The 16,926-nt window shown below is 37.7% G+C and overlaps 1 protein-coding gene across 22 annotated transcripts in view; it reads right to left on the bottom strand.

Annotated features, from left to right (window-relative positions):
- DOCK3 (dedicator of cytokinesis 3) overlaps nucleotides 1-16,926 on the bottom strand; it is a 709,272-nt gene that overhangs the window by 317,364 nt on the left and 374,982 nt on the right. For all 22 annotated transcript variants that reach the window (XM_005264914.4, NM_004947.5, XM_006713010.4 and 19 more), the window contains exon 6: nucleotides 2,239-2,387. In XM_005264914.4, the coding sequence (XP_005264971.1) occupies nucleotides 2,239-2,387 (149 nt within the window). The remainder of the gene's footprint in view (nucleotides 1-2,238; nucleotides 2,388-16,926) is intronic.

Genomic DNA, 16,926 nt, shown 5'->3' with positions numbered 1-16,926 from the left:
AAACAAACAAAGATATAAAGTTGTGGCTTCAAAAAGGTCACAAACAACGAATTTAGTGTTATATTTCCTCTTTTCTACTGATGAACACTACCAATTTGGGTGTGATCTACTGTTGATTAGATTCCATGTTTCCTCTTTCCTGATTTATTCTTCTACTTTGCAGAAGCACATCCGCAAGTCCCTTCTTAAGAAGGGGTCATGAGAGGGAACTTTCGTGCATCCCTGAATACCTAAAAATGGCTTTATGGTTTGTGTCCCCTCTCACTTAATTAGATGGTTGGGATTTGTAAAATAAAACTCTGGCTGGCAAATCATTTCCCTACAGAACTCTGAACATATTATTTCATTATCTCCTAGCATCCAGTGCTAATGATAACACTTTTGAGGACAGTATGATACTTATTCTTTTGTGAGAGGAACTATTTTTCTGTCTAAAACCCTTAAATAGTCTTCTCTTCATTCCTAGAATACTAAGCTATCTTAATGTGCCTCGTTGTGAGTTTTTGTTTGTTTGTTTTGTTTTTCCATTCATTATAAATATTTAGTGGGACGCTTTCAATCTTAATATTCCTGTTTTTTGGCTCTGACAAATTTTCTATTATTCCTTCAGAATTTCCCCCGTTCTTTTTTTGGAAGGCAAAATGTTTGATATTGGACCTCCCTGGGTAGAGCCTTTGTACTGAATTTCTTTCCTCATGTATTGCCTATATATTTGTCTTATTTTCCTAGGGATTACATAAAATTTGTCTTCTCTGAGTATTTTATTTTGGAAATTACATTCTCCACTTCTTTTACATGGCATCTTATTCTACATAGTGGATCTTTTAGATTCGATTTGAGGATATTAAAGTGTTTTTGTTTTGTTTTGTTTTAAAGTACTTTATCAATCTCAATTTGCTCTGGGGACAGGTTACTTTCTTTGTGTACAGGTGTTTTGTTAATCTTGGTCTCTCTCTGTCTTGTAGAAGCTTTTCTTCAAACATCTGGTGATACCTGATTGTCCATTCAAACTTAAAAGATAGCAGAAGAATTGTAGAGTTTTTTTGTACATGGGTAGGTGACTGGCAAGTTTCCCTTTCTGGTAAGCGGGAGCAATCTGCTCATTATACTTTAAAGTCCTTAAATGCCAGAATGTGGAGAGTTTTGCAAGAAAGTCCCAGTTCACACTCCTGTTGCCCAGTTTTTCCCCGGTAGCCATTTTTTATATTTGTTTATCTGAAGAGGAAATACCTGGCCAGGTTTCTGCTCATTGATTGGGGTAGACTGTTCCTTAGACACTCTTTTAAGCCAAGTCCTTTTCAAAGCTTCAAGACCTATCCCACCTTCTATGATTCTGGGAGCTGTGGGGCAGACTGACTCTCTCATTAACTAAGGTTTCCTCCACATATAATGGATTTACTCTGTCATTAATCTTTCATCTACTTTCCGGCTTCCAGAAATGGGCTCATAGATTTCATTTATTGGTGGGCCCCTCCCAAAAAGGATAAGGAGCTAAAGACACACATATAAATATACTTAAGGTATATGTATATTTTAAGTAGGAGGCAACCTGGTCACTTAAAAGTTCAATGGACCCAATTTTAAGAGAATGAGACAAAAGCACCTGAAATTTATATCAATTATAAAGTTATATTAATTATTATATCAATTATTGATATATCAATTATATTCACTGAAAATTATACCCTAACTTCCCATACCAAAGTCTTCAAATTGTACTTGTATGGCAATAGCAAATCATAGTTATTACATAAATGCAAGACTATTACTGAATGACAAGGTAGTCAAAAATATTCTGAAGTACAAATGTAGACAGTTTCCATTTGTAGGTTATGCTCATTCAGATTCATTGTATGGCTATAAAATGTGAAGGACACTAAATTCACATTTGAAGAAAGCACTAAAATATATTTTCAAGTGTATTCTGATTAGGAGGTGTAGAATCAAGAAATCTGAGGTCAAAGAAATTTAACTTTATAGGATAATCTAGTCCTATTATTTACCTCTTCTTTTCAGAAGCAAAAACAGAGGCTAAAAGAGGTTCAGCAACTAGAACCAGTGAGTATCCTTCGCTAACTAGGACAAATAACTGCTCCTAGCAAAAATGATGAAAGCTTAGTGAAGAATATAACATTGCCTTTGAATCATTAAAGAGAAGCTTTGTATAGGTGCAAACTCCCTGAAGACTGAGTTATCATAAATGAAACTGAGAGATACCCAAACAATTTTCATACTTACTCATTACCCCAGTCCAGGCGCACGGTGATGTGCCGCTTAACCTCCCGCACCTGATCCTGAGTCAGGTGACCAGACAGTAGCTGCCTTCGCAGGTCAATAAGTTCATTCATCACATGGCGTAGTTTGTAGAAAAGATCTACTTTGTGTTTCTGAAAGGGCATTTTTGGTGTTGGGTGAAATACAAGAGACATGGAAAAGGAATGAAAAGAAAAAGAGAAATAGTTAAACTATGAAAAGTGCTCATTTCTCTGAACTACTAAGGTAATATAAAGAGGAACTTAATTTTAAAGTCTGAAAGTCATTACCTCCTTCTATCCAAAAATCTCTACGTAGTGACATCCAACAAAGTAACATAATTGATTTGGATCATGCAAAAGTAGCATTTATCTCTACCACATCCTAGATTATTCATTTCTTTAGTAAATCAAAGTTACTAAACTTAGAACAGAATGTTACACAGGAGCCCAGAGCTGCTTTCCCTCACAGAAGTTGCAGTTCACATAAAAGCAAAAATTTCAACCATCCAGCAATAACTCTGGTTTCTCCAGGAGAGATATCCAAGTTGGGAGAGGAAGAATCATTTGCCCTATTTTGAAGCAACTAATGTTTCAATATAAAGCCACAGTCCCTGGAGTGAAATTCACTCCTGATTTCTAGGCCTCATCTGATTTTCTAATTAGCTTTTCTAAACGGTGTGTCCTTCCCCGACTCCCTCTGGTGTAACAGATTTCCAGTCTTTTCAGTTTAATAAAAATTGTCACCTTTGTAAGAGTTAAACGGAAACATCTTAACAAACTTAATTATGGACCTGGTAGTAGTTTTAACCTTAAAAGTAGAAAAATATAAGTGTCATGAGAATAGATGCTTCAGAAAAAAGATGTACTTAAAAATAATGTATGAGTTTAAAAACTCAAGTCCTATTTGCTGATATGTGAAATCTTGATTTTAGAATATTTTGGTTTCTGTATAATTAAAATTCTTGGGATGTAACTGATCTATAAATAATGCTTCTGAAGGCAGATTAAGATGTTAGTAAAATATCTGTATGAGATTTACCCTAAAAAAGATGTTTGCCAAAATAAGCTCAAGTCAAAGAAGCTATAAATAAAATTAGCTATACAGCAAATCACAAAACAGTAGAATCAGGTAGTGTTTTGAGGTGGCAGTGATCTTATAACTAAAACATTCAGAATATCATACTACTTAGAAATCATCTAATGTGACTTTTTTCTATTAAGAGACAGGATCTCACTCTCTCCCAGGTTGGAGTGCAGTAATATAATCAGCTCACTGCAGTCTCCAACTCCTGGGCTTGAGCAATCCCCTCAACTCAGCCTCCTGAGTGGCTCGGATTACAGGCCTGGCTAATATTTTTTTTTTTTGATAGAGTCTTGATATGTTGCCCAGGCTGATCTCAAACTCTCAGGTCCAAGTAATCCTCTTGCTTCAGCCCCCTAAAGTGCTGGGATTAGAGACATGAGCCACCACACCTGGCCCCATTAGACTTTTAAAGATTCATCTTAAAGAGAAATTATTTTTAACTAGAAGATGTTAGGAATCATATACTCTAACTTCTCCTTTCTTTAATCGATGAACTGATGAAGAAAAGTTAAGCATCCTGATGGTACACAATGCTGGAAAAAGGTGAGAACTCACAAATTCCTGCCAGCTCAAAAACCAGCAAAGCCCAAGCAAACTATACCATCTGGAAAATTGGAATCTTGACGATTAAGCCATAAAGGCAATGTGATATTTGTTTCCAACACATACGTTTCATATTGATAAAACAAAATCACCTGTTTAAGTATAAAACAGAAAGTTTGAATTATTATTTTCCCATCAAAGCCTATATGATAGTCCATTGCATGTATACATCCACAAGCATTCATTCATTCATCCAATTAACAAATGCTTGTGCAGCACCTCTTGAGTACTAACACTTTGTTGTGATCAAAAGTCCCTGCTCTCATGGCACTTTTGATCTAGAGAGCAGGCAATAGGCAAATCATTAATGATGGTGATAAATTATAAAAAGAAAAATCAGAGTGGCCAAGGGTAGGCTGGCTGGGGCACTGGGGAAGGTACTGCTTTAGGTGGAGTGGTCAGGGAAAGACTTTTTGGGAGCTGAACTTTGAGAATACACCTGAATGAAGTAAGGTGGCAACATTTAAGAAAACTGGGGACATTATTCAGGCATAAGAAACAAGTGCAAAGGCCTTGAGGTGGAAGTAAACATGGCATGTTCAGGAAAAACAGGGTCAGTGTGTCTTGAGAAAGGGAAGATTGATGATGCAGACAGGCAGCAGGCACCAGGTTAAACACAGATTTTGTAAACCACCTTAAGGCTTTGGCTTTTATTCTAAGCAAGATGGGAAGTTACTGGAGATTTGGAGCAGAAGAGTGATGTGATATGACTTAAGTCTCGAAAGCATCACTCTGAGTGCTCTATTGAAGATAAACCATAAAAAGGCAAAGAGGAAGGCAGGGATTCCAGTCAGGAGGCTATTTAGTGCAACAGTTCACAGCATAACAGCTGCTTGGATGAAGGTAAGAATGCTGATGTTAAGAAGGGCTTGAAGTTTTGACATGTTTTGTAGGTAGAGGTGCCAGAATTTGCTGACGGACTAGATGTGGGTTATGAACAGAGTAAAGTATCACTCTTGTTTTGTGGCCTGGAAAGCATGCCTGGAAGAAGGAAACTAAGTTTAATTTTGGACATGCTAAGTCTGACACTGATTTCCAACATTCAGAGGTTAGGAAAGTGAGAAGTATTTAGCAGAGGAAACTAGAAGGAGTAAGCAGTGAGGTGAGAGGAAAAGCAGGAGAGTATGTGTCATGAAAGCCAAATGAAAACTGGATTTTTCTTTTCATGGCTTTTTTTTTTATTATACTTTAAGTTTTAGGGTACATGTTCACAACGTGCAGGTTAATTACATATGTATACATCTGCCATGTTGGTGTGCTGTACCCAGTAACTTGTCATTTAATGTTAGGTATATCTCCAAATGCTATCCCTCCCCCCTCTCCCCACCCCACATCAGGCCCCGGTGTGTGATGTTCCCCTTCCTATGTCGATGTGTTCTCATTGTTCAATTCCCATCTATGAGTGAGAACATGCGGTGTTTGGTTTTTTGTCCTTGCAATAGTTTGCTGAGAATGGTGGTTTCCAGCTTCATCCATGTCCCTACAAAGGACATGAACTCATCATTTTTTATGGCTGCATTGTATTCAATGGTGTATATGTGCCACATTTTCTTAATCCAGTCTATCACTGTTGGACATTTGGGTTGGTTCCAAGTCTTTGCTATTGTGAATAGTGCCGCAATAAACACACGTGTGTATGTGTCTTTATAGCAGCATGATTTATAATCCTTTGGGTATATATACAGTAATGGGATGGCTGGGTCAAATGGTATTTCAAGTTCTAGATCCCTGAGGAATCGCCACACTGACTTCCACAATGGTTGAACTAGTTTACAGTGCCACCAACAGTGTAAAAGTGTTCCTATTTCTCCACATCCTCTCCAGCACCTGTTGTTTCCTGACTTTTTAATGATCGCCATTCTAACTGGTGTGAGATGGTATCTCATTGTGGTTTTGATTTGCATTTCTCTGATGGCCAGTGATGAAGAGCATTTTTTCATGTGTCTGTTGGCTGCATAAATGTCTTCTTTTGAGAAGTGTCTGTTCATATCCTTTGCCCACTTGTTGATAGGGTTGTTTGTTTTTTTCTTGTAAATTTGTTTGAGTTCACTGTAGATTCTGGATATTAGCCCTTGACTTCAAACTATACTACAAGGCTACAGTAACCAAAACAGCATGGTACTGGTACCAAAACAGAGATATAGACCAATGGAACAGAACAGAGCCCTCAGAAATAATGCTGCTTATCTACAACCATCTGATCTTTGACAAACCTGACAAAAACAAGAAATGGGGAAAGGATTCCCTATTTAATAAATGGTGCTGGGAAAACTGGCTAGCAATATGTAGAAAGCTGAAACTGGATCCCTTCCTTACACCTTATACAAAAATTAATTCAAGATGGATTAAAGACTTAAGTGTTGACCTAAAACCATAAAAACCCTAGAAGAAAGCCTAGGCAGTACCATTCAGGACACAGGCATGGGCAAGGACTTCACGTATAAAACACCAAAAGCAATGGCAACAGAAGCCAAAATTGACAAATGGGATCTAATTAAACTAAAGAGCTTTTGCACAGCAAAAGAAACTACCATCAGAGTGAACAGGCAACCTACAGAATGGGAGAAAATTTTAGAAAACTGGATTTTAAGGAGGACTTTGTCAAAGGCACTGGGGGGTTAAATAAATATGAACTGAGAATTGGCCAGGGGATTTGGCATTGTGGTGGCTGTCACTGACCTCTACAGGAACAGTTTCTTTTTTTTTATATGCAATAGATGTCTTATTTTATTTTATTATTATTATACTTTAAGTTTTAGGGTACATGTGCACAATGTGCAGGTTCAATGAATTGTTGGAGTGAGTTTGAGTGAGATTGTGAGAGGAAGAAGTGGAGAAAGAGCACAGACAACTCTTCTGAAGAATCTGCAGTAACTAAAAGCAGAGAAATGGGGTAGCAGAATGTGACTGTGTGGTTAAGGAAGGGTTTTTAAAAGATTTGACAAAATTTCAAACTAAATTTTGAAGAGAATAATCTATTAGAGGGAGAAAATTTGATGATGCAGCTGTTAAATCCTTGAGTAGACATGAACAGATGGATCCTGGGGAAAAAAGGGGAGGGTTTGATTTAGGTAGGAGGCTTGATACTCTGTGTTACCTACCTATTCTTCACAGAGAGGAAGGGTACAGAATATGGGTAATGATACAGGTAGCTGGTAGATCTGGTAATAAGAGAACTAAAATTTTCCTCTGACTGCTTTATTCTCAGAGAAATAAAAAGCAATATCATCAGCTGGGAGTGAATAGAGTGGGAAGGGGTATTTGAGATTTGAGAATAGAGCAAACGATATAAAACAGTCTCTTACGGAGTGGTAACTTGAATTGACCAGAAAGTTAGTTCCATTGCTAGGTAGTTCTGAGATCTGTGAAAACTAATTAAAAGTAATGTGGGATGTGGGGTGTGTGTGTGTGTGTGTGTGTGTGTGTGTGTGTGTGTGGTTTTTTTTCTAGCAAAGTCTAATGAAGTATACTGATACTGAGGCATCATGTGTATTAATGTACATGTGTGCTATGGTCCAAATGTCTGCATTTCCCCCTCAATAAATTCATACATTGAAATCCTAACCCTCAAGGCAATGGTATTAGGAGGTGAAACTGTTTGGGAGATAATTAGGTTATAAGGGCCAAGCCCTCGTGAATGGGATTAGTGCCCTTATAAAATAGGCCCAAGGCCATTATCCTAAGAAAATTAATGCAGAAACAGAAAAACAAACACCGTATGTTCTCATTTACAAGTGGGAGCTAAACACTGGGTACTCATGAATATAAAAACAACAACAATAGACACTGGGGACTATTAGAGGGTGAAGACAGGGTGAAGTACAAGGGTTGAAACTTACCTGTTAGGTACTATGTTCACTACCCGTGTGAGGGGATTATTCACATCTCAAATGTCAGAATCATGCAACATACCCATGTAACAAACCTACACATGTACCCCCAGATCTAAAATAAAAGTTAAAATGATTTTATACATACATACATATATATGTAATTATTTTATACATATATGTATACACCCACAGCCAAATTTCCTATTAATATTTAATTAAATATTTGTATTTATTACCTTAAAAAAAATAGGCCCAAAGGGGAGGTTCTTTCATCCCTTCTCCCATGTGAAGCCATAGCAAGAAGGTGCAAACTATGAGGAAGTGGACCCCCACCAGACACTGATTCTGCCAATCTTGATCCTGGACTTCTCAGCCTCCAGAAATGTGATAAATAAACTTCTGTTGTTTATAAACTGCTCAACTTAGAAAATTTTGTTATAGCAGCCCAACAAACTAAGATGGCATATACGTATTATGTATGTGTATATTAATGCATATACATGTACATATATACACACATACACATGTAATACATACATAAATGCACAATACACATATACAATATCTATGCCACACGCACAAACACACACTATCTATGCAAGAATATACAAATGTAGTCTTTTAAGGCATTGTACATGGTTTTTTTTAATCAAGAGTTTCACAGATTGCATTTTCCAAAGATAACTACAATATCTCCCATGACAAGTGGTCTTTTGCAATAATGTGACTTTGATACCCTTCCAGCATGACATGGAATCTATTTTCCCACAGTTTTGAATCTGGGCAGGCCCTGAATATGCTCTGACCAACAGATATGGCAGCAGTGAGCTAGGCCAGTTCTCAGCCTTTAACTAGTCTGGCTGCTTCTGCTTCCTGCATTTTGGAATGCATGTTCTTGGGAGCTGAGGCCATAAGTAAGGAGTTTCAATGGTGTGAGTGAGCAATCTTGGATACCTAGCCCAGCTGAGCCTTCAAAGGACTACAGCCCCTACCAATACTCAACTGCAACAAAATGAGAAACCCTAAATGAAAAATGCCCAACTGAGTTCACTATATCCAGAAAAGAATGAAAAATATAGTTATTTTAAGCCACTAAGCTTTGGATGGTTTGTTATGTAGGTAACTGAAACAATTACACAATTTTTTTCAATAGAAAATCAGTTGTTTCCAAATACATGAAAATGAAATTACTTATCCTACACCAACTGTGTAAAGATGCACAAAGAAGGAAATGGATTAAGTAAAGCAGCACTGTTATTATAACCAATGTGGTGTTAATTTCTTTTTCCGGGCCAACCTAATGACCTCTCTGACCAGAGACCCTAGCAGTAGAGGCTCCACCAACATTGCTCCGACACCGCACTGTGTTCTTGGGCTTGTTAGCATAAGACAGTATATACCACTCAAGGTGAGCAATCTGGGTGACTAGCACCAGAGCATACATTCACCTAGAATGATCTGATGCCACAAAACAGCTGAATACCTCACTCAGGAAAAACAATCCTTTTCTACTTAGAGACCTGCTCCTCAGTGGATTAAAGTAACAGTATAATTAGGTTGGCACTACAGGTTTTGTTTTCTGGCACAATCATCCCTATTTCCTGTCACTGCTAAAATAAAAGGAAAATTCAATGAGGAGGAGATTGGGCAGAAGAAATCTGTATAGCTCATCTTAGCAACACATCCAGCCTCTGCAAAAACCCTACAGACTAATATTTGTCAAGATCAGTCACAGATTATTTGGAAAGTACACTGAAGAGTCAGCAGAAACCATAAATTTAGAATGATTAAACTACTTTACAAACGCATGCCAAGTACAATTTGCCTCACTGTTGTGAAACAATCCCTGGAGCTCTGCAGAAAAAAAGAATATGTTTTAGTGCTCCTGTTTTAAAGATAATTTTTGCTAAATTATTTTTAACCCAGTATGGAAAGAAACGTTGTGCCACAGTGATGCCTCTAAGTCAGTAAATGAGCAAAGTTGTAGGGCATTTGCCAGAAAGTATATTACCTTTATTTTAAAACTACATATGCTTACGGACCAATTAATATAAACACAGCATCATAAAAATCTAATTAAATAAAAATGACATCAGAAATTTTGCTATCCTCAAAGAGAATAATGTCCTGCCACTAGTACTAAAAACTTTACATCAAAATCAATTTAATGGAAGATAAACATTGTTTCCTTCCAATGTTGTTGTGGGAAGATTACCAGATCTCCCCTATTTTACATTTTCTTTTTGAATATTCCTTTATACATAAGTAGATGGGTTTTTTCTCACTTTCTTTTTAACAAATTAACCATTAAGAACTTGAGTTTATTCAAAACTCCCAAAACAGCATTCTTTTTTCATTACTACTAATCTTCAAGTCTCTTCTCATGAAGTAACCTCTAATCCTATTCTAGATGTTTTCTTATATTCCAAAACTCATCCCAATATAATGAAAAGATTTCTAGACTACAGTACTTGGAACCCTAATGACCTTTATGTCAAAAATACCTTTAAATGGCCAGGCACAGTGGCTCACGCCTGTAATCCCAGCACTTTGGGAAGCTGAGGTGGGTGGATCACGAGGTCAGGACATCGAGACCATCCTGGCTAACACTGTGAAACCTCGTCTCTACTAAAAATACAAAAAATTAGCCAGCCATGGTGGCGGGCACCTGTAGTCCCAGTTACTCGGGAGGCAGAGGCAGGAGAATGGTGTGAACCTGGAAGGCAGAGCTTGCAGTGAGCCGAGATTGTGCCACTGCATTCCAGCCTGGGGAACAGAGCGAGACTCCGTCTCAAAAAATAAATAAAATAAAAATAATAATAATAAAATACCTTTAAACCCAGGAATCTAAACTTTCATTTTAGTTTGCCGAACAACATAGTCAGCAACTGAGTACAAAAGATAGAAATTTTTGTGAAACAAAACAGTATCTAAACCAAAGCTAATTCACACTGATTTTCAAGCACATATTTACAACAAATGAAAATGCAAAGAAGCGATATGAAAATTCTTTTTCTCTTCATTAATATGAGGAAGTATCCATACAATATGTATTTCCTTGGCACATACATCTAACTCCTCCACATCTCAAGGGCCATGATATCATCCTCAGTCTATCCCCAGCCCAAATACATCCTCCATTATAGAGTTGATATTCCAAATAACAAATAGCATTATAGCTCTAATCCTCTCTTACAACACATATATTTGCAGGAGAGCTAAGATTTGTAAAAATCTTTCTATTCCACAGAGCAGATCTTCATAAGAAAGGAACAACACCAAAGGTAGAAAGGTAGAAAAAATATTAGAGATATGACAATGGAGGCTGTAGTTGCTGAAGTCATCCATTCACGGATGGATAGATGCCAAGTGAAGGGCATCCATTCACAATTCTGAACAAGGCAGACTTACCTAACAGTGGGCAGTAAACAGCTGAGGCGTTCTCAGGCTCACAGTCACTCCTACTACACAGGACAGATCAAATCTCTACTTAAAGTCAGTCCTCGATGTGTCCATAGGCATCTCTTCTTAGGGAGACTAATAAAAAGCCAGCCTCAATCCTTCCCATGCACAACTATCCACTCCACCAAACATTAAAGGTGAAAGCTGGAAAGTAGATGACTTGTCAAAGAATAGAAAACTAAAAAAGCCCTAAGAGTAAGGTGGAGGAAGACAAGTGAGGAGGGTGGGAAACAGGGAAGAAATCAGTAAGATGCAAGCCTCTGCAGAAAGGCTCTGAGACTGGAGGTACCAGAAATCTCTGAAGCCTAGAAGTATTATCCCCCTTTACCCCCAACCCTTTCCCAGTGTGCTTTCCACATCGAGCTCCCCAGATGTTAACAACCAGGCTGATACCTGCATATGAAGAATGGAGAAGATTCCTCTTTAGGAAAACTCAGCCCAGGGGAAAAGATCCAGAAATATTGACAGCTGCTCTACTTTTTCCATCAAAAGCCAGGCCCTCTTCTAATCCCTCTAAAGTAATGTTCACTAATTGATAAATACTAGCCCAATTCACAGAGCTTTCTGTCAACATTTTAATGCCTCATTCTTAAATATGAATGGACAAAGAACACCATATAATAAGGAAAGCTTCCAACATGAAGGAAAGAGACCAAAGCAATCAGAAAAATAGATATTGGAGGAAACAGACACAATGACAAGAATAAAAGAAAATTTCAAAGAAAAAATAATTAATATTTTACAAGACCACAGAAATTATAGCACATCCATCCAAAGAAGAATAGGGCATAATAAAGGGGCATAACCCCCAAAACCCAAAAGGGCTTTTGGAAGTTAAAAGCAGGCTAGTCGTAATTTAATATTAAAAAACAGTAAAATAATGGAACACAAAATTGAGGAATCCTGCCTGAAAGCAGAATGAAAAGGTAATGCAATCCAATAGATAAATGGGAGACAAAATGTAAGAAAATTAGTGCATCATTTGAAGATGTCCAACTCTAATCAAAGGGTTCTAGGAAGACAGAACTGTGAAAACAAAGAGGAGGGAAATATCAAAAAATGAAATACAAACAAAATGTCCTAGAATTGAAAGAAATTAGCTTTTAGGCTAAAAGAATTGGCTGATTAGCCAGCATTATCAGTGAAAATAATCTACAGCAAATCATTGTAAAATTTCAGAACACTGGGGCAAAGAGATACTACTAAATTTTTCATAAAAAACAACTTGTCAATAAAAGGATCAGGAACTAGAAGGGCATTGGGACAAGACATGGAACATCTCAACAACAATACTGGAAGCTAGAAAATAATGAACCAATGCTTTAAAAATTTTTCATCTTATTTGTAACAAAGAAGTATATATCCAGCCAAGCTATCAATCAAAGGTAAGGGTAAGCTAAATACATTTTAAATATGTAAAACTTCAAAAATAAAAATTCTCCCACAAACTCTTTTTTTTTTTTTTTTTTTTTTTTTAGGAAGCTACGGGGAAAGTGCTTCACCAAATGAGGAAGTTTACCAAGAATTAAAGCAACACTGACTTAACCTAAGAGACAAAGGGACCTAGGAGAGAAGCAAAGAAAATTCTCAGGTTAGATTAACAAAGAAGGTGGCAGAGTCCATGCAGGATATAATTGAGAAAAAAATTCAACTGATAAAATACCTGAAGTGCTTGAACATAGTCAGATTTTCATTTATGCCAAAAGATTGAAACATAGAAAACAAAGGAAATAAAGCAAATTAAAAAGGAGAAACAATTATTAACCCTAAGAAAAACAAGGTTACACAACAAAGGAAATGTAACCTTAATTCACTATATGTGAAGTGGCTACACAGGCATAGTAACAACTAAACATTGGTTCAAAAAATGGTGATACAGCCCAGCATGGTGGCTCATGCCTGTAATCCCAGAACTTTGGGAGGCCGAGGCTGGTGGATCACGAGGTCAGGAGATAGAGACCATCCTTGCTGACACGGTGAAACCCCATCTCTACTAAAAATACAAAAAATTAGCCGGGCATGGTGGCAGGTGCCTGTAGTCCCAGCTACTCAGGAGGTTAAGGCAGGAGAATGGTGTGAACCTGGGAGGCAGAGCTTGCAGGGAGCGAGATCATGCCACTGCACTCCAGCCTGGGGGACAGAGCAAGACTCCATCAAAAAAAAAAAAAAAATAGTGATACAACTAGTTTGGAAGTATTGAAAGGGGAAGGGAAAAGTATGTATGTAGGGACAAGAGCATTCGGAGCTTAATTCTTATCTTCTATAATAAGAAGATCACTGAACTGTAACTTAAATAGAAAAGTCAAGATATACATTAAAATAACATTATTTAGAAATGTAAAACACCAGAAGAAACAACTAAGAGGGTTTAAAAAATGGGGAGTGAGAATCAGGAATGGGGAGAGATAGGGACAGGAATTTAAAGCTATTTTTTTGTTCAATGCCAAGTAGTCTGTAATATATAACTTAAAATCCATATATATATATATATATATATATATATATATATATATATATATCTTTGACTTTTTTAAAAGATGAAACTGAATAATCCTTACTATAAAGGGCCTTCCTCCATCCTCCACCCCAACTGGGTTGCTATGGGTCACAAAGTTAAGCAGTCTCAATTTAGCCCTCACTGCTATTTATTACTTTAAATAAATAGAACCAGCCAAACCTGCACTAGTGCAATGATCCCTCTCAGAATCAACACAAAAGCTAGACCATTTATACTTCTCATTCCTAGAGTGGATGAGAAATGAAACACATTCCACAGTAAAAGAATACCCTATGGAAAGCTCTGTCTCTTGATTACATATAGCATCTGTCCCTTCACAGCTTTCACATTAGTGACAGTACATACAAAGCAGAAATGATAGTTGCTACCCTGCCAACCAAGCCCCTTCAAGATCTGAGTCTCCTTGCTAAGGCAAATAAAGGAAAAAAGCAGAAAGTGCACACTGGCATGCAGCAGGCTCAGTCCTTTCACACGAAAAGAGCTGAAATTCCAAGGGCATCCAGGAACTCTCTATTAAAGGCATTATGTTGCGTTAACTCCTACCTCTAGTCTACTCTAGTCCATTCATTCATTCATTTTTTAGACAGGGTCTTGCTCTGCTGCCTAGGTTGGAGTACAGTGGCACAATCACGGCTCACTGCAGCCTTAACTTCCCAGGCTCCAGTGATGCTGCCACCTCAGCATCCTAAGTAGCTGGGACTATAGGTGCACCATGCCCAGCTAATTTTTTGTATTTTAGAGAGACAAGGTCTTGCTATGTGGCCCAGGCTTGTCTTGAACTCCCAGGTTCAAGCGATCCACCCACCTTGGTCTTTTAAAGTGCTGGGATTACGGGCATGAGCCACTGCACCCAGCCTACTCTAGTCCTTTTAAATGACTCTGTCTTACCTACTGAAAATAAAAAGCTGAGAACTTCAAAAAAATCTGTGAAATTTATCCAGATAATTTCCTGCCTTCCTACTACTCATCCTTCCTCTGGAGTTTCATAATTCTTTAACATAGAGACAATGGAGCATAGTGGGTGATATAGTTCAAATGCCCCCTCCAAATCTCATGTTGAGATGCAATCCCTAGTACTGGAGGTGAGGACTAGTGTGAGGTGTTTGGATCATGGGGTGTAGCCCTCATGAATGGCTTAGCCCCATCCCCTTGGTGATGAGTGAGTTCATGTGAGATCTGGTTGTTTAAAAGTGTATGGCACCTCTCCCACCCCCTTGCTCCCACTCTTGCCATGTGATGTGTCTGCTCCCATTTTGCCTCCTGACATGAGTAAAAGCTCCCTGAGGCCTCCCCAGAAGCTGAGAAAATACAAGGCCTTGCTTGTACAGTCTGCAGAACCGTGAGCCAATTAAACCTCTTTTCTTTGTAAGTTACCCAATCTCACATATTCCTTTACAGCAACACAAGAATGGCCTAACACAGTGGGAAAGGGTATTGGCTTTAGAGTCAGAATGGTTGGTTTTCTATCTCAACTCTGCCAACTACAGTACCTTAGGCAAATTTACTACTTGTGTGCCTCAATTTGCTCACCCCTTTACAAAAAGAAAAAAGAATATGGTCAACTACCAAGGATTATTACAGGGGTTAACTGTGCCTAGTACCTAGTAAGGGCTCTGTGATTGTGACTATTACCATACCACATTTCTTGCCTTGCCTCCAAAAGACACTCTGCTCTGAGCCTGGGTCCCAAACATCAACAAGTCTTCTAGTTGTGTTTCCAAATAATGACCAAGGCACCCCTGCCAGGGCACCACATCTGGCCTTTGCCATTGAGTCTTACGTGCACCTCTCTAATAATAAATAATAATCCTTTTCAACTTCTTACAGGTAACCATGTTCTTAATTTGTATCCTTTTCTTCCTTTAAATTTACTTATATATCCCTTTAAAAATTGTTTGGTTTTATCTATTTTTAAAAACTTTATATAAAGAAATTCTGTACCCTCTTGACTAAGCCAACCTTTACATTTGAAGAACATGTTACTCTGAATAAGGTAGACAGAAACTATTTACAATTTTTTTTCTCAAAAGTGAAACAAATTGAGCATTACTAAGTCCTAGACCTGAAACCAATGAACTGCCATCAAACTGTTACATCACAAAGTGTAAAGCTAAAAATTTAATAAAAATTAAAACATTTTTACTTTTAATTTTCATTAAAATATATGTGGTTATCTATAATCATATAATGCTATACGTGATGGTTAATATGTTAACTTGACTGGGCTAAGGGATGCACAAATATCTAGTAAAATATTTTTTCTGGGTACCTCTGGAAGAGATCAGCATTTGAACCAGCAGACTGAGTAAAGAAGAACTAATATGGATGGGTATTATACAACATGCTGAAGGCCTGAGAAGAATAAAAAGGCAGAGGAAGGTCAATTCACTCTCTGCCTGAGCTGAGACATTCATCTTCTCCTGCCCTCCATTTGTCTCTCAGTTCTCAGGTTCTGACTCAGACTGAATTATACCACCGGCCTTCCTGGTTTTCCAACTTGCAGACAGCAGATCATGGGACTTCTTGCCCTCTATAAGTGTGGGTCAATTTCTAGACTAAATCTCCTTTTATGTATATATCTATATATATCTTATTGATTCTGTTTCTTTGGAGAACCCCAATGTGCTACAATTCTATAAATCTCATGTATCAACTGGCCTGCTGTTTACTGAACAGAATATTGGTTTTAAGCTACATAAAAATATTATTATGTAATCTGGACTGGAGTGTAGTGGTGCAATCACAGCACAGTGTAGCCTCAAACTCTTAAGGTCAAGTGATCCTCCCACCTCTGCCTCCCGAGTAGCTAGGACTACAGGTGTGCACAATAATGTCCGGGTAATTGTGTTTTTGTTTTTGGTAGAGACAGGGTCTAGCTGTGTTTCCCAGGCTGGTCTCAAACTCCTGGCCTCAAGCAATCCTCCCATCTCAGCCTCCTGAGTAGCAGGGATTACAGGTATAAGCTACCACGCCCAGCTAATTTTTTTCAATCCATGAACATGAAATGTCTTTCCATTTGTTTAAATTTCTGTCATCAAAGCTGTATTTTTTTTATTGCAGGGATCTTCAATTTCCTTGGTTAATTTCACTCCTAAATATTTTATTCTTTTTGATGCTATTGTAAATGGGATTTTCTTAATTTCAAATATTTCTTTATCAGTACACAGACAT

This window comes from Homo sapiens, chromosome 3 (assembly GCF_000001405.40).
Source record: "Homo sapiens chromosome 3, GRCh38.p14 Primary Assembly".
In the NCBI taxonomy this organism is placed as follows: Eukaryota; Metazoa; Chordata; class Mammalia; order Primates; family Hominidae; genus Homo; species Homo sapiens.
This window is presented reverse-complemented; position numbering and strand designations above follow the sequence as displayed.